The following is an 18,317-nucleotide window of genomic DNA, read 5'->3' on the forward strand; positions in this document are numbered from 1 at the left end:
AGTCTTCATGCTTCTTCTAATTTATCTGTATATGAGAATTTTTTAAAGTATTATTAGAAAACTTCTCACCTTTATTCTCAATTACTCTGCGAAAGTTTTTATTTTTACTCTGGATTTTAAAATATGCTTGTGGGGAAGAAATCTACAATCCCTTAATTCCATTTTCATATAGTCACAAAATCATCAGAAGAAAATGGAATTTTCTGTTCAGATTAAATACAGCTCCTCAGTACCACTGAAAGCAGGAGGGAAGGGAGAGCCTGGGGCAAGTTCCATAGACTCTAAATTACTAGCTTCTGCAAATCATTAGTTTCTCCCCTGGGAGAAAAGCAGCTCTACAGTCTTCTGGTTCCGAGGCACCCTCAGCAGAGTCAGGAGCTGCACGGCCACATTTTAAATTCTAGTGGGCACAGCTAAAACAGGATGAACCGAAGTCGGCCTGAATATTGGGACACTGATTTGAGGAGAGAGATGGCAACGTGGGACAACAGCATCTGATTTTGATGTCTTTTGTCTAGTGATGTCCTATGCGGTGGCAAGAAAGAAGACTGCAGGTGCCAGCACACCTCGCGCTGTCCCTCCTCGGGCCCAGCACTGGGACCTGAGGCTGAGCAGTCCACCTCCACCAAGAACAGGAATGCCTGACACTCAAAGGCCATCCCAGCCCCAGTTCTGGAAATCCGAGACCCTAACTGTACTTTAAAAGATAACTGACAGACAGGTGGCAGGAGTCAAGAAGGGTCAGTCATAACTTATCCTATTCGTAAATCATAACAGTGAAGTGCAAAATCCCAGGAAGCCAGCTCAGGCTGATGATGCCGCCGGGGTGACAAACCAGGGACTAAAAAGTCTGGGTTCAGGAATCTTTAGGTAATTAACTGTAGAATGACTAGATACCCGCCTCCCATATTTACAGCGCATGCCTTTGCTAAACCCATTTGCCCTCCTTCATTTCTTCCTGTCTCTCTGCCTCTCCCTCCCTTCCCTTAGCGTGGAGTACATCAATCTGTCCGAAGGGATAAACTATATTTGTGTTAAGCTTTCATTTATAATTAACCAGCTGACCCCAATTCCACACATAAATGGCACTTATTATTTAAAAAATACAGGCTACATTTCTTTCATTGTTCACTGTGTCATTATGTATACATAATGTTTCCTTCCCATAGAGAATAAAATAATGACCAAAGTTCTGTCCTTCAACCCAATGTCTCCACAGTGTGTCTTTCCACCCTTGTTAAACACTGCCTGCTTACATGTTTTCAAAACACATGACCCGCATCTACTCTGACACTTTCCCATTCATCGACAGAGCAACTTCAGTCCTTAATTAGGGCAGTGTTTGAGCTTAAAGGCAAGTCTGTACAATTGAAAAGGTGCATATTCAAAAAAAAAGAAAAAGAAAAGATGCGTATTCAAATTTCTGAGGGAGTAATAGCGTGGTCTGTGATGACAAAACTAAAAATAATTTATTACATTTTATTTTCCAACGTTAATCCATTAAATCAAAGGTCACTGGGGCAGAGGTCTTATTTTCAAATAATATATATTTATTATAATAAATAAATGTATTTATAAATTCTTCCTTTCCATACCTCTATAAATGTGCCTATTTCTGTAAGTTTAAAGTAAGTTCCTTACAACTAATTATTTCTGTTTACTGATGACAGGTATGACAATTTTATATGGAATGAAACATGTTCTGATTCAAAGAGAAGTAGTTCTTCCAAAGTAGCTGAAAGCTGATTCACAACACAGGAGTTTGCCTTTTACAGGCAGACATGATGTTATAAAATGTCAGATGGCCAACATTTTTGCGATGGGGGTGTGAGAGATTCTTCTCAAATGACGCACGCCTCTCTTGGGTATTATCGAACTAGAAACTGGAATGCCCCCTTTAAGACAAGGAAAGTTTGGAAGAAAGGCGCCACAACGCCAGTCAGAGCTGGCGGTTTTCTCAGCAATGCCTGATGCAAGCTCGAGCTTTGACAGCAGTAGCTGGACTCCGACTCTTCGTAAAGGTGCAGCTTAACTCAGGCACTGCTAGAGAGCCTTGGAGAGAATTACAGACGTTTAGAGTGGCAGGAATGCCTGGTATGGCTCCTTGGTTTGAGTCAGGGCAGAGGGAAAGCAGCACACACTTCAGTCAGAGCATAGCCTGGCCTAAAACATGAGACTGTATTCTGTTCTCTCACCCAGAGTCTTGATTAAAAATATTCTTTGCCCATTTAAGAGCTTGATGTGCAGAACCCTTTCCTGATAGCATTGATTCTGGCTCGGTTTTATAATTTCACTGTATGTGGGAGGAGTAGTTAGGAGGGCAGAGAAAGCAGCACCAAAAAGATCCACACTTGCTATGACTGAAGCTCATTCCATAGGGAAGATAACAGAGAGCCTTGGAGAGAAGCCACCACGTTGTCCCTCTGTGGGTCCCCCAGCTGTGGTGGCATTAATACTACTGTTGATAAGGGTGGTGGCCACCTGTTGGGAACCCTGGGGAGATCTTAAGAGCTTCAGCAGGAAAGTTTCTGCAAGGTTTCAGGCGGATGCATTTAAGCCATCAGCACTCAGGGTCTTGGAGCTCTGGACATTGGATAGCAGATAATGTCCGCCTCACTGCCCATCTGGTGACCCTAACCTCAATCTGGGGAAATCGCTTCTCTGTGAAAGATAACTTCGGCTCTGTGACAGCTCCACCCCAACCCTCGCTAAGAGGAGGGCCAATACATCATGTTGACTTATGACTGCTGGGGTTTGTATCCCAGATCACTCTCCGTGAGGATTTCCTAAGCCACTGGACCAGAGTCCACATGTGCAGAGATGAGTTGAAGTGCTGAACAAAACACACGCCCTGAGCTACAGCTGCAGTAGCACCTTTTGGGGGAAGGAAGCCGAGATCTTTCTTAAGCATAATGAGGACAAGCACATGCAGTGGGTTCCTTGGTGTCGGCAACTCCTGTGTGAAACAGAGGAGTTCCTGCATGCTGGCTACGTGGGCACAGGGCATGGTAGGGAAAAGTGAGCTGGGGTAAATGGGGTGTGCTCACTTTGTTCTCTCTCTCTGCCTCCTCTGTCCCTGCCTCCACCCCTCTGGCTCTTGCTCTTCCTCAGGGAGAGCAGATGTTTTAACTGATAGTTTGTAAATATTCTTAAGGCAGACAGTTGCTACCTGACTTCACCTTTCTTATCTCCAGTTCCACCCGAAAGTGGTAACACAGCATATCCAAACATGCCTTGTCATACCAAAGAGAAGTCTGTAGCTCAGCTAGTTAGAGACTTGCATTCAAAAGAAAAAAAAAAAACTTAAAGTTGCTTTTTTATACGGCTTTTTCTGTGCTGGGTGGAAGTCCATTCAAAGCTACTTTGTATAAATAAAGAAATACAATCCTCTTCCCTACTCCCCAATAAAGCTGTGGGGCAGCACGCTGGCCACTGTGCCTGGATGCGCCTGCTGGCATCTGCCGAGGTGTCCTGCCCCACAGCTGCCAGGTGTACTGTGGGGACATCATTCACCTCCTGGGCATCACACTGGTGTGAAAGCAGCCCAGGGCTGAGCTGCACTTGAGGACCCCATGGCACAGGCTTGGTTCGCACTCAGCTCACCAGTGGCCGCAGGGCCAAGGCTGTTTTATTTTTGGCACACTGTGAAGTTGTATTTCTCCCACAACTTGATGTTCAGATCTATGTTTAAGACTTAGAGTAATCATATTTCTCTTTTCCTTTTCTTTCACCTTCGGCATTAGCTTCTTGTAAAAATGAATTTAAGAACATTGTCCTTGCAAACCAGATTATGTGTTTCTGAAAGTCTGTGCACCCTGACTTTCTAAGGCTCATTCATCACCCTATTCATCATCACCTATCATTTGTCTGCCACAGTGACAGGCACGAGGAAGATATGACAGCAAGACAAGACCTCGTTCTTGACTCCAACAAGTTAACGTTTTTGCTAAGGGGACAAGATCAACGCTGATGATACAGTGAGTCAACAACACAAGGTTGTCTCCAGGCTGACTTGGGGCTGCTGGCTGTAAATGTAACAGAGCAATCAGAAGGAGAAAGAGGACCGCAGGGGTGGGGGCAGCCTGAATAAAGGCACTGAGATTCAAGGCGGGGTGGGTGTGGGGGTAAGGCAGCCCTGCCTGAGGAATGCACAGGAAACCAGGTTCTGGGCACTCTGAGGCTGGCAGAGTGGTGTGGGCTCCATGGGGGTGGGCAACAGAGAGCCACTGAGGGTAACTGAGCAAGAGCGTGTCTGTGAGGAAGGAAGGTCAGTACGGGAGTACCATTCAAGATGGTCTGTTGGAGCAAAAGGAGGAAATCAGCAAGACCAACTAGAAAGAAACTTCAAAAAATTAAAGGAACACCCCAGAAAGGAAGAGGGCCAGGACAGGTGGATGCGGAGCGTGAAAATATCTGTGTTGTGATGTCACTGAAAAGAGTAAATTACCAAATGCACCGGGAGTTTTGAGCACAGTGTCCAGTGTGTAATACGTACGCGGTAAGTGCTCACTCCTGAACTTCCGTTGTTGTGGGTATTTTCATGTGTGAGAAGAGAAATACGTAAATTGGAAGTAATAAACACAGTCCCTGCCTGCGTGGAGCTTGCTTTGTGGATTAATATTAAGGCCACCTGGCTATGACAGCATTTGTTCTATTGTTTTGGCGGCGGTGGAGAGGGGGGCGGGGGTGAGGGGTGTGAGGGTTCAAGTACATACTTGTTCTTCCTAAAAAGTACCTTTGAAACTGAGTCATTGAATGGTTGTGTTATTAAAGCATTTAATAGTACTACTCATGTTGAAAATGCTGAAGAAAGCCAAGGTGGAAATTTCCCACCTCAGTAACTTTTGATGGTAGGATACTAGTTCTATAGATAATTATTAAATACCACTAAACGACAAAGCGATGACTACTGAACATTTTGACCAGTAAGTGTTGATAGCTGACCACATGTCAGGCCAGGCACTGGGGATACAAATGGAACAAAACACCTTCCCTATGCTTAAAGAGCCAAAAAGACAGTGGTAGAAATAGACACAAATAATCAGAGTACAGGTGCACAGAGCCTTTCCAAAGCCTCCGGAGAGCTTGGAGTTGAGATGTTTTGGCTCGTAGAGACACAAGGTGATGGGCACAAAACACACAGGTGGACATTTGCCCTGTGCTGCCAGGACAGGCTGAGTTAGGCTTGTCCTGGTGCTGCCTCTGTCCCCTGCCCCTTGTACTCTCGATAGGCAGGTGGTAAGTTTGTAGTTACCCTAATCCCATCTTTCTGAGCAGCCCCAGCACCATCTGGCCAGCACACCATAATCAAACGTGAATATTCCTTCAGCAAAATGTATGAACAGTTACAGTAAGTGATAAGAAGACAGACTACATAATTAGTCTTGTGTCAGGTTGGGCCAGATTTTGTAGGAGAATGGGTTTTAAGGGAAGTTTTGATTTTCCCTGAGCTCTTTGGATTTTGGAATCACGGATAATGGACTGCGCATGGTGTGGGGCTGTAAGTGTGGGTGTCCATGGCAACAGAAGAGAGAACGTCTAGCTCACTCCTGGGAAGCTGGAGGACTTTCCAGAGGAAGTTCCAGTAAACCTGAGACCTGAGGGAGGAGGAGAGGTAGCTTCAGGAGAGTTTGGGAACTGGGGAGGGCAGGAATGACCATCAAGTTGCAGTCCTGGCAGGCGGCTGGGCACCCAGCAATCTGGGGCTAGACCCACACAGCAATGAGAAGGGTGGCGGCGCAGCAGGAAGGCCCTTGCAAGAACAGGTGCATCTGGGGGGCATTAAGCCCTGAAGAAGTTTTAGGGTGAGTTGAATTCGTCATTGTGGAATAGCAATTAACCGGTTGTTGATAAGGTGCCTGGAAGTTGGAACTAATATGGGAGGAAATAGAATGATTGGTACTATAGCGGGCAGGCCTCAAATTGTTGGGGCAATGAATGAAGTGAACAGATTTTCATTCATTTCGATTCTCAAGGGTTGTTATGGTTTTGTATATTAATCAGATGTATATATTGTGTATGATCAGATGTGTGCGGTGTGCTGGCACCATCGCGGCACAGCTGATGATTCTGAGGGGAGGTGGTGGGCAGGTGCTGAGGCAGGAATACAAGAAGTAAGCCACAAAGGCAGGCACTCCAGAGGCAGCAGCACAGGCTTAGTGACTGATCAGAGGTGGGGGCAGCAAGGCAAACAGGGGAGTCAAGGGAAGTGTCCATGCTGTTCTGCCCATGTGTTCTAACCTGAGGCCTGTGAAAAATACTTGTCTCTTTCCTCATGCGTTTCTTTATTCTAACTGATGAGAACGATGCTGAAGTCTGACTAACATACTTCACCACTGTTTTCTTTTTGTTGTAAAGTCACACATGTTCGCTAATGAACATTTGGAAAACACAAACCAGCGGAGGAGAACCCCTCGCAGGCCCATCATGAACACAACACTGCTGTTAACAGTTTTGCTGGAACGAGGCTGGGAGCACGAGGCGTCCGCAGCACGTGGCTGATTCCCAGCGTTTGCTCACCTGTGTGTAGGTTTCCTTATATGGTTGTGATCATACTGTTTGCGCATTTTTATGCTTCTTTTTTCACCCATCATTTTATCCCAGACACTTCCCTGAGCTACTACTCCATAGTCTGAATGGACACGGACTTTAATGGATTTGCTGCATGGTGGCATTTGGAAGGACTGTGCTCAGTTATCCCCTATGGTTGGACACTATGCTGTCGAACAGATCTCTAAACCTGAAGGAAATTGCTTTAAAGGCCTACTCTCATGGCAGTATTTTCGGGAAGGCAAGGAAGCATTTGGCATCTCATACTGGTTCCTAACTTATAGCCTTCCGAAGTCTCTTGCTGTCAACTGAATCAGGCACGGAAACATTTATAACTGGTAGTTTGTGGATAACAGAGTAGTATTTTAGCAGTTAAGTGAATCTCAAGTTTCAGTGCCTCTCAAATGTTGCTTACCCAAAATTTCAATATTAGTGTTGGTTGTGAATAGAAGGAATTAAAATTACATCTCCATTGTGCTCACCAGAACCACGTCTCTGCTAACCATACTTTTTAATGTGACTTTAAGGAAGCAAAACCAAGTCATAAGGTTTTGAGGTCAAAATGTGAGCTGAAAATATTCTGATTTTTAAAAATATCTATCTGTTGATCCATCTATCTATGTATTGCTCAGAAATACTTCTTGGTCTCACAGAAGAGGGGAGGAAAGGCTTCAGTGACAGACTGAACAGCCACACAGTTGAGAGAAGTAATCATAGGACACTCTCTCAAAGGCCCTGCTCCAGAGCCCTCTCCTCCATGGCGTTGTCCAGGGTGAGCAACCAGATGGAGGTGGGCTCCCCACCTTCCTCCTCCCAGGCAGCCTGGCATGGCCCACCACACACAGGCCTGGGAGGAGCTCCCCACCTTCCTCCTCCCAGGCAGCCTGGCATGGCCCACCACACACAGGCCTGGGAGGAGCTCCCCACCTTCCTCCTCCCAGGCAGCCTGGCATGGCCCACCACACACAGGCCTGGGAGGAGCTCTGCCACTCACCCACTCTTCTGAAAGACACATGTGAGTAGCACCCAGATTTGGACGTTGGAAAGTGCGCTTGCACTGAAAGCAATTTTACATATGGTAACTAGACGCAGTTAAAATATTTTCATTAGTATTTCAGGCATGTTATTGGGAAAATAGGCTTGTGTTGGCAGGGCTGGGGCCCTCGTATCATTTAAAACACGCTTTCTGGGAGAAAAAGGTTTTCAAGTACCAAATCTGTTGTTGCACCAAAGACTTCACAAACTAGGCTACATCCTTACTATTCACATGCGTTATTAAACATTTTCTGGAGTAAGGTAAGGTATAAATAAATGAAATACAAATAAACAAAAAACAAATACAGCACTCATCCGATTTTAATGGCATAGAAAGGAAATATCCAGAAGTATCAAGTGGGAAAGGTGCTTGTCCACACCCTCCTGGGGCTCTGAGGGCCATAAAGAATCAGCCATTTGCTCACCATCCACAGAAAAGCGTGAAACAAAATGCGGCATCTGGGTATATCTCAAAGGTAGGGAAGGAAACAACTCGAAGGCTGTAACTTTCCCGACACTTGAGACGTCACTCCTTTGCAAGGCAGCATTCCCAGCAGGCAGCGAAGCGTGTTTGGAGAAGCTGGAGGGCAGATGAGGAGTGGAGGGAAGGCGGGTAGGGGGCTTGCACTCGAAACCACCTCTGAAGGCGTTGTCAATACAGCAACAGCAACGAGGACAAACATGCCACACGGTGGGTCCAAGTCTGAACTGCCCGGGGCTAAGTCAGTCACCGCACAATCGAGTATGGTGTAGCTCCAAAGAATGGATCGGGCGAGAGCCCCACTGCATCAGATAACTGGTGCATCAAATGGTTTAGATCTTGGGAAAAGCAGGTTTGGGTTTTCCTCAAACCATGCCTATTATAAACTGCTGGTAGAATATTCCTTTTGAATTAAAATCTCATAGTCTATTCTAAGAACTCCAAGGGCACATGAAAGAAAGGCCAGTGAGCGCCGGGGGCCTCTGGGCCTGGCTGGCGTTCCTCTGAGTACTGCCATCTGAAACAGCAAAAGGCCAACCGGGGTCACGTCTCTGTACGCTGCATCTCACAGCTTTGGGTTTTAAATGTAAAAAAGAAGCACCTTTACATGGTAAGTAAGTGTGTCCAGTCATACACTAAAAGGACAAAAAGCCATTGTCAGGTGCTGTGGTGACATGTTCAGTTGGGCCCTGACCCTTCCTACTTCCAGAAAATCCCTCAAAGCCTTCATACCTGGTGCCTGTGTCACTGGAAAAGAGGGTGCAGCTGTCTGATGTCCCCTGATTGCCGAGAACCGTGTACACTGACTCAGCTCCACAGGTAGGCATGACAGGTTATGTCCCCTGAATGCACAGCAGGTGTCTGACTGCTGGTTTATAGATTCAGACCATTAAGTAGGTGCAGATACACCCACTGCAGCACTGAGAAAAGGCAGGAGACAGTGTCTACAGAACCAGAGTGCCAGCCACCCTTGTAGTGCTGCTGCTGAGGGGCCTGGCTAGAAAGTGCTTAGAGCAGCTGTCCTTAGAGGCTAATGTGCAGAAGGGCAAAGTTTTTGGGTGACCCAGTGCACGTGATCTGGGAGGAAAGTTGCAGAGGCTTCGTGGGGGAGCACGGCCTGGAAACTGGCTGTGCCACTAGCACACAGCGTGACCTTGGGCAAGTCACTCGGCTTCCTGGTGGCCCAATTTCCTCATCTGACATGACAACAGTGAAGATCATGTTCCCTGAGCAGCTGGAGGAAGTGACAATGAGGCTCTGTGCTGGAGAAGCCACGGTGGCAAAGGCCAACATCTCAGAGGTGACGTGTTGCCTGGCCCCCAGGACCAGGAGAAGCCCTTAATGCTTGGAGCTGATTGTCACAGATGGAAGGAGAAGTGGACAAGTAACGTGGGTGGGCCTTGGCTCCTCTGTTCCCCAAGGCACAAACCCACTCCTCTGGCTGCCCTTACATGGCTATTTAGACTGCTGCTTACATGAGAGTACGTGCAAAAAGAAGAACTTATTGAGAATTAATGCTGTAACTAGGATTTAGAGATGGGACTGAGAGTTATGTTTCAAAACCAGAGCTTGAAGTTTGGGGAGAAAACAAATGTCTCTTCTCTCAACAAATACAGTCCTTTGGTTGGGCTAAACCTGCCTAACTCGACTGAGGCAGGGTATCTATGGAGGAAGAGTTTTTGCTTCATGCAGCAGCTTTTGGCTTAACTGCAGAATTATTTCTGGAAATAGTTAATAAAAATCACACATATATATAAACCGATAACATAAAACCCCAAACCATACAAGTACACTTAAAATAAATGACTTTGGGTATTTAAAAATTGTTTTTATACTGCTGAAGTCCCTGAAGTCAGAGCCCGTGCTACAGCTGTACGCTTCCCAAGAATCACTGCTTGTCAACACTGCTCCTGCAGAGGAAGACTGTTTACCTCCACTCTGCCTGTCAAGTTGACTTTGTCTCTAAATGCTCTGCTTTTTATTACTACCCTCCACCAGACCGGGGAAAACATTTGTGTATGTGTATATTCCTGAGAAGCTTAACCACATTACTGCTGAGAACACAGCAGATCTACTCATCAACTTGGTAAAGAAACCAATCACACTGATTGATCAGATGCCTAAAACAGCTAGTTGATTTTCTTTTCCACGTCTGCGGCATTCATTCAGTCCCTAAACCCTGAGCAGCCACCTGCTCTGGACCTGCCGTGGTATAACCAGGCTGTGGTCAGACCTGATGGAGCTTCCGCCTATCAGAGAACTGTGTAGGGACAATGCCCTCTGGGGCTTCACCAAAAACAACCAAAACACACGTCTGCCCTGACATGGCAGATACACTTTTGAGGTTCCCCTTGGGAATGGTCCCCCTAGACCTGGAGCTCTCCGAGGATGGGGTCAGGGAAGCTGAGACTACCTAGGCACAAAAATCTTGACGTCTACATTTCTATCATCAATTTAACTTCAATCGGTAAATGATCTGGTGATACTGCCAAGCTCAATGTCCAGGTCCTAAGCACACCCTCCCTTGCAGGGCGGGGGTGTGAATGGCTCTTATGTTCCATTGGGGAGGGCGGATGTCAAGCTCTTCCAAAGCACCCCTGTGAGTTTGTGGAGGGCTTAACGACAGACTTGTGAAGGGGTTGACTACATATCGTCAGAAATTATACCAATGACAGTTTTAATCACTGGACATGAACATTTACAAAATACGTACACCTATGAAAGGATGTGCCAAGCCAAGCAAAAACTTGGGGCTGGAGAAGAAAGGAGCCGGACCTGGCAGTTCAGCTTTGTTTTCTCCGCATGGACAGCTGGACAGGCACAATTCCCTACAACTACATACATGATGTATTCTGAGCATTTTCCCCTGGGGGGAATCAGCTTTTATCTAATTCTTCAAGAGGTGAATGAAACCAACAAGGTTAGGGACAACCCAACTGTGTGCATCATTCCCTGACTGCAGCCCAGGGCACAGCTGCCCCCACTTACCGAGGCTTGGCCAGCCTCAGAGCCGGCTGCCTCAGGATCCCTGCAGAGTCCTACGTTTCCAGGGTCCACCGCTCAAGTGGTTTGAGGATGAATCCTGGAAGACTGTATTTTCAACAGCTTTCTGGATGAGTCTGACGTACTAGGCTTAAGAACCATGGACTAGGGTAGCCACCCTTGACAAAGGATGCCTGCGGTTTTGCTTAAAGTAGTAGTATTGCCTGAGAAGAAATGGGTTGCCTCTTTAAGAACACTTGGGTAACCCACCCATCCACAACAGCTCTGATGATTACAGGCAAAATGAAACACATGGGTGGGAAATAAATGTACAAACTCATTTTGCCAGTTTGCACCAAATCTGTGTATTTGTGGCCTGTGATTTTGGAGATACTACTCTGCAATTTTTGCACACGTTATGTCTAGGTATGGTTTTCCATCCACCTTGCTTATCTCTGTGCTATCAGCCTGTCTTTGCCTCTGACACCCCGGCTGCCTGCATACCCCTTCCGTGCCCCTTAAGTGACTTGGGAAACTTGTGGAAAGCCATCTTTTCCGTCCGATTTTGTGCAGCATGGATGAAAGTCCCTGTTGATTCTAAGGAATGAGCTGGGTGGAGGGACAGTTTTTCTGGCATAGTGAAGGCCCCACCCGAGCACCAGCCAAACGGTGGCTGCTGAGAGCAGCACTGCACAGTCACCAGCCGAACATGCCCCCCAAAGCCCCATCCGGCCCCTCGCCTGAGCCTTCATTAACACCCAACACTTCTCCTCTGTTTACAAGTTTATGACTGCAGCCTACTCTCTAACCCTCTTCAATGCTTAGAAACGGACTCTAAGATCACGAGAAAACTGCAAGAGATTGGAGGTTTGGGGCTTCAGATATAGAAGGTATAGAAGATGCTGGAAAATTCAGTCAGATACAGAAGATGCTGGAAAATTAAGTCAGATTAATCCAGACTCTTGGTTTGAGGAATTCTTTTCTTTGATAGTAATCACACTATTCTGCAATACTCCGGTATCTTTGATCATAAGATCTCAACATGCTTCACAAACACTAATTTAACCTCCCACTACTTTTGTGAAGTTTATCATAATCATCCTTCACTTAGGAGATAGGGAAGCTGAGATGACGTGTAAAGTAGAAGATGTAAGTAGCTAAATGAACTTTGAAGTGCTGTGTTCTTATCTTAGCTCCTAATTATTTTGACTGAAGTGTTTTTTCTTATTTCCTTCAGATGAATAAACTGATATCGATGGTTTACATAAACAACAGAAACTGCAAAACACACATTCCTAACTTGCTCCCTATAACTAAGCCTGGGGTGCAAAATGTCACTCACATGGAGAGAAGACGCAGCAGACATAATGGCTTATCATCAACTCAGGGTTTGAAACAAATACCCACTTTACTTTGATGTCTCTGATGCTGACCACAAAGTATGAGGGTATCGGAAAGCTCAGAAGTTCAGACAGAAGTTCAATTGTCTGAAAAAGTTATAAAGATGGAGAAAGGGAAAAAGCAAAAGGGTTGAATTCTTTAAAAAAAAAACCAAGATCATGAAACAGGCAGAAAGGAAGAGGAGAATATTTCTAGCAAGCAATAGGTTATTAAGTTTGGATTTCAATAGAGGTTGTTAGCAGAACAATATAAATATTACTTAGTTGGAGGGCTGAGGAGAAAGTGGTGTGAATCAGAAAGCCTGACCAATGTCCGTGGATGACCAGGGACACGGGGCAGACACAAGGCCGTTTCTGCTGCAGATAGTGAGAAGGCCATGCCATCATATCTGCGTTTCTCCCAAAGCAACAAATCCATCAACACAAGACTATGTAGAATCCAGCCACGGATGTCAGACTGACAAGTCAGAAATGTGGTAGATCCATAGTGGCCACTCTCAAGGACAAGCAACTGACTCTGTTTTATGTTTTGCCAAATAAACCCACAGGCCAGCGGGTGGGCGCTAGCCTTTTCATAAGTATGCCAAGTCAAACCACCATTAAAACCATTCCCTTGGCCACTGCGGTCCCTGTGGGATGAAGTGTCCTCGCCTCCACTGGACTCCAGTGTGTGTTATCTTTTCACCTCCTTCCTGGGAAGAGTTGGTGGTTGCTCAGCACCACATGTGACGACTAGGCACAGGCCCTGGCTGCTCCTGGCACCCACCACCGGCCCACGCCGGGATCCAGTGCTGGCACTGTTTGCTCTGCGTCTCCGCCCCGTGGCTCCCTCCCACTGCCCACCCCCGCCAGCTGAAAGAAGAGACAATGTATTGGCACTGACGGCCATCCCCATCCTACCTTTAGGAGGAGGTGGTGATGCATGAAGATAATATTTCGTCTTGCCAATAGACAAACAGGCTTTTTGGATCAATGGGACACACACACACACACACATACACGTACGTGTGTTTGTGCTGCATTTTACAGTTGTGCCAAACTGCATGAAATTGGCTTTTCTCTCATCTCAATTTGGCGGCATGAAGCACAAACATCTCAAAGGAAAATCAGCAACTGTTTTTATCCATAGTCTCTTCTCTTTTTCTTATTCATCTGATCCACGGGCCTATCTGAGTTCTTATTTTTTCACATCCTCACTGTAAGTTAACAGTTTTGGTAAGACAGGCATACTCAATCAGGCCATTTCTCTTCATGTGGGAATTAGATACTTGTTTTAGAAAACATATCCAAAGACTATTCTAGTGCATTTGACTGAATTTTCCACCAAAATGGATGTGCAAAGAAGAAGACACTGTACACCTTATTAGGAAAATCTCTATAAGCCCAACACTTTTTCAGACTTTTTTTGAGAGGGAGTCTCACTCTGTCGCCCAGGCTGGAGTGCAGTGGCATGATCTTGGCTCACTGCAAGCTCCGCCTCCTGGATTCACGCCATTCTCCCGCCTCAGCCTCCCAAGTAGCTGGGACTACAGGCGCCCACCACCACGCCCAGCTAATTTTTTTGTATTTTTAGTACAGACGGGATTTCACTTTGTTAGTCAGGATGGTCTCGATCTCCTGACCTCGTGATCCACCTGCCTTGGCCTCCTAAAGTGCTGGGATTACAGGCGTGAGCCACTGTGCCCGGCCTCACTTTTTCAGAAATTTAAAAAATGTTGTTCTAAATGACTATCATCTTACACAATCATATATTTAAGTTCTTTGCACTTACATTAAAAAAAAAAAAGAAAAACATTGAAGATTCTAGGTGAAGAGAAAAAGGAATATCATGCCACCAGGTTTCCGGAAGACCTTGGTTCCACGATACCAATACCAGCCATGATGGCCATTCACTGAGTAGAACTTATTTCTCACTTTGTAATTCAGAAAGTTTCAGAGTAGCAGAGAAACGCGTGTCATGGGGAAAGCCAGAGAACTGAGTGTCTTTTATGCTAGGTGACACTTTGTTCCACAAATATAGCCTCAGAGTGGGTAAAGGAAAGATGGTGGCTGACAATGGGGCATTTCTTATGGAGGCTCAGAGCCGGCAATGCCTCCAGTTGGCAGTCGTACTCTCTTCAGACAGAAGCAACCTTGGATGCCTTTTGCATATGCATTATTGTTGATGCTGTCTGCCAAGACTTCAAGATACTATGAGATTTTCCCACAATGTGCATATGCTGTGGATGCCGGAGGCATCATGCCCTAGTGGTCTAAGGGTGGAGCCGGGCTGCAGTGGCTGTAATATGGCATCACCAGGTCTTCCTGTGGAGAGGAGCCAGGGAGCACATCTGGAGTGCTGAGCTTGTGTGAGACAGTTGGGATAGATCAACAAGAAAGGTGCAGAGGGAAGTGGAGAAACGAACAGAACCTATGAAAATAAGAGTTTCAGAACAGATGAAGAAAAAAGGAGAGAACATCAGCAGAAACATAAGGAGACAGGAAAGTGGCAGAAATGAAAGAATTAGTGAAAAGACATGTATAGAGGTAAAGCAATAGAAACGAAATATGACCTTTTCAAAGGTTGGATATACAAGTGTAAGTTGTGAGTGAACTTAACACTCATCTTGCCATGGAATCTCAAATAGAAAGAGGAACATTATTATTTTTATTCCCTTTGCTATTTAGTATAGTTTAGACTATTGCTCTCTAATAGTTTAATACACTGGTTTGAATAATTTTGGTTCTATCAGAGCTGGCTGTAAAGCATAAGAATGATTCTTTGGCAATGTGCACATTCATTCATTCTTTATCCCCTGACAATGTGCCAGGTCGTCTTCAAGGCCCTCCGATGTCATTCTTCCCCCAGGACCCCAGGTGGAAATGACCCATCACAATGCAATGGGATAAGCGGTAAGTGCTGACTGCCTGGGGGAACAGGTGCAGGCTGCACCAAGGAGCTGACACTTGTGCAGGGTCTTGTAACTAATATTGCATCAGTTTTTTCAACATGCCTATTGAGATCAGTGGGAAAATACTCATCGTTATGTTGTAGCAGGAAAAACAGAAGTAAGGAGAGGTTAGGAGCTTCTAGAAGACTTCAAAAGTTTGAGAGCTGGGAATAAAAGGTGTTGAGATACATACTTTAAAACTTATAATGCAAGCTAGTAGGACATATTCAAACTACCACTATACTTTTTAAATTTTAGAATTTCAATAAGGGACTATAGTACTTTCTAATCCTCCACAACAAAAACTGATTCAGAAACAAATACGTCTTATTAACTTCAATACCTTAGTAACTTGCCTTAGAAAAAATGACAAATTCCCCAAAATTCAAACAGCAGGTTTTAGATGACGATGTTAGGCACATTTTTCTCCACTGACCTCTTTTCAAAAAATAATAGAAACAGCCTGAATTTAAAATATACAGTGTCTTTCTAATACCACTGTGAAAAACATTCACACAGAATTAATTTCATTCTCAACAAAATCCCTGGAAAATAGGGAAACATTTCATTATGAAGTCGAAGAATATGTAAAAAAAGATTAAAAACATCTTTAGATTGGTTTTCTCTGAGTTACTGTTAAGGATCCACGTTTATGCTATAAACAAATCTCTCTCATGAAAGTAAGGCCTTCCCTATTCCTGGCTCTGCCTTTTAATCACTGAAACAGCTGGGAACTGTTTAAGAATTTGTCTCAAACACAAAACTTGTTTAACTAACTTAATGGAACAGGTGAGGAGACACTCTTCCAGAATTTGAACCCATCAGGGGTCAGATGGCAGGTATCAAAAGACAGATTAATGGTATCAGAATAGTGGCCATGTGGAGTTTAATGATGACATATGACTGGTTTTAAGACTCGTGACAGCAAGAAAGAAAAAGGCAAGAAAATAGGAGGTACAAATAAGAGGAGTGGCTAAGCTGCTGCACAGACAGGCTTGGAGGTGAGGCGGTGAAGAGGGGTGGCCTGCTGGCTGCGTGAGAGAAGGCCTGGCCAGGGCAGGGTGTGGTGATATTGGCTCTACCAGCCTTGCTTCTCAGGGTTCCCAGACTGGGCCACCCACCCACTCCACCTGACAGAGTCCCTGCCTATGTCTCTGTTCATGCGGCTGGTTCATTCCCACAGCACCTCCTGCCCCAATTGTGAATTCTTTCCCAGTTCTTACACCCCGTCCCCCAACTCTCTCTTTTAATTACAAATCTTTCCAAAGCCCTGCTCTAAAACTCCCCTTTATTAGGAAGCCTGTCCTTGTCCCTCAGGCTCAAGTACGACCTGTCCTCATTTCCAGTTGCCCAAATGTATCAGCGGTGTTTTCTGAGTGTGTACATTATGCAATTTTAAATAGATGATGCACCAGCGTCTTCCATTTTGGTTTAGTCCGCAAAGTGATTAACAACATGCTATCCATTCCATGGAAAACACTAGCCCAGCACCGGTTCCAAGTGATTAACTCAGTATTCCCTGCCAAGAGAAAATCTCACTGTCCAAGAACTCTGGAGCCTCAACAAGGAAGGTGGCTTTGCCAGCACCTTGATTTAGCTCAGTGGGACTCCATTTGGTCTTCTGACCTCCAGAACTGTAAGACAATGAATCTGGGTAGTTTTAAGCCACTAAGTTTGTGATTACTTGTTACATCAGCAATAGTAAACCAACATAGATTTTAGACTATCAAAGTGACACTCAGCTGGCTCTAGGGAGCAAGTACAAAGATGGGTTTTTGCAGACAGGTTTCCAAGGGAGGAGCATGGGGGGTGGTTGGCAGATAAAAGCAGATGATAGCCTGATGTCTTCCTTGGTGGCTGCTCTCTAGCCTACTGGGGATACTGCAGTTCTAGGAGGAGCTGTAGAGCTTGCTGGATCTCAGCGCCTGTCACACTCCCTTGAAACATACCGTTTAGGCAGAATCAGAAGTCGATCACCAATTCAGCATATCCCTACCTTCCACCACGATCATCCTTTCTACCCCTGGGTCAAGAAGCACACAGCTGGCAGTACTAAGGAACAAGTAACTTTTTCTGCATGAAGATCTATAGGTATAAAACAAAATAAATATTTAAATAAAAAATGTCAGGAGTTGAAGAGCCCAAAGCATCCTTTCAGAAGATGTCTTTTGATAACTAATAATTTCACAAGAGTATATGATAATGATAATTAATAATGATGACTAATAAAATGACAATATGCAGCACAAAGTACCTTACACTTATAAAAGCCCTTTCATCTTTAAGAATTTGAAAATGCTTTGCAACCTGACTTCCAGGACATAGTGATTTGAAATTGGGTCTCTGCTTGCCCCCTGAAACTCAGTTTTTCTTGGATTGAGATGAAGTAATCATCTGCCAATTAATGTAACTCTTTGATATTAGCTCTTTACACATTAATCTGGCCCTATGGCTCTCAGATACAAGTGCTTAGTTTGTGTATGCTGTGAATTATTAACCTACTTTTTCAAAATATGTTTCTGAGACTTACCTCCTGGAATTCGAATTTGCCTGGCTCTGCGACCAGCTCCCTGTGCACACTCTTTTTCCCCCCTAGAAATGCTCCTTCAGGGAGTTTATGTATGTCAGGATTTCAGCTCTTGCACATCTTGCACATCTAGGCCCTAGCCCTGACCTCTTTTCTCTACACTAGGCCTCCAGCTCCAACTGCCTCCCTCATTTTGCAGCACAGATATCCCGAAGGCACCGGGAGTGTGACGGAACACCTCAACACCTCCCCCTGCAAAGTAAGTCTTCTCGCTGGATCTCTGATCTGGGTTCCAGCATCGTCACCTCCCCACTACCCTACATGGTTCAGCCTCTGTCCTGGGAGTCAACCTCAGCTCTGTCTTCTCTTCCACATGTCCTTAGTCCACTCTGATTCCATGGTCTCCATCTCTG

General features: G+C 45.3%; 1 protein-coding gene across 6 annotated transcripts in view; it reads right to left on the reverse strand.

Annotated features, from left to right (window-relative positions):
* GMDS (GDP-mannose 4,6-dehydratase) overlaps positions 1-18,317 on the reverse strand; it is a 621,800-nt gene that overhangs the window by 76,376 nt on the left and 527,107 nt on the right. The window contains exon 10 of one of the 6 annotated variants that reach the window (XM_047418655.1): positions 7,888-17,462. The exons of the other annotated variants lie outside the window; for them this stretch is intronic. Within the exon in view, the coding sequence (XP_047274611.1) occupies positions 17,430-17,462 (33 nt within the window). The 3' untranslated portion in view covers positions 7,888-17,429. Of the gene's footprint in view, positions 1-7,887; positions 17,463-18,317 lie in introns of those variants that run through there. 6 annotated transcript variants of the gene reach the window in all.

This window comes from Homo sapiens, chromosome 6 (genome assembly GCF_000001405.40).
Source record: "Homo sapiens chromosome 6, GRCh38.p14 Primary Assembly".
In the NCBI taxonomy this organism is placed as follows: domain Eukaryota; kingdom Metazoa; phylum Chordata; class Mammalia; order Primates; family Hominidae; genus Homo; species Homo sapiens.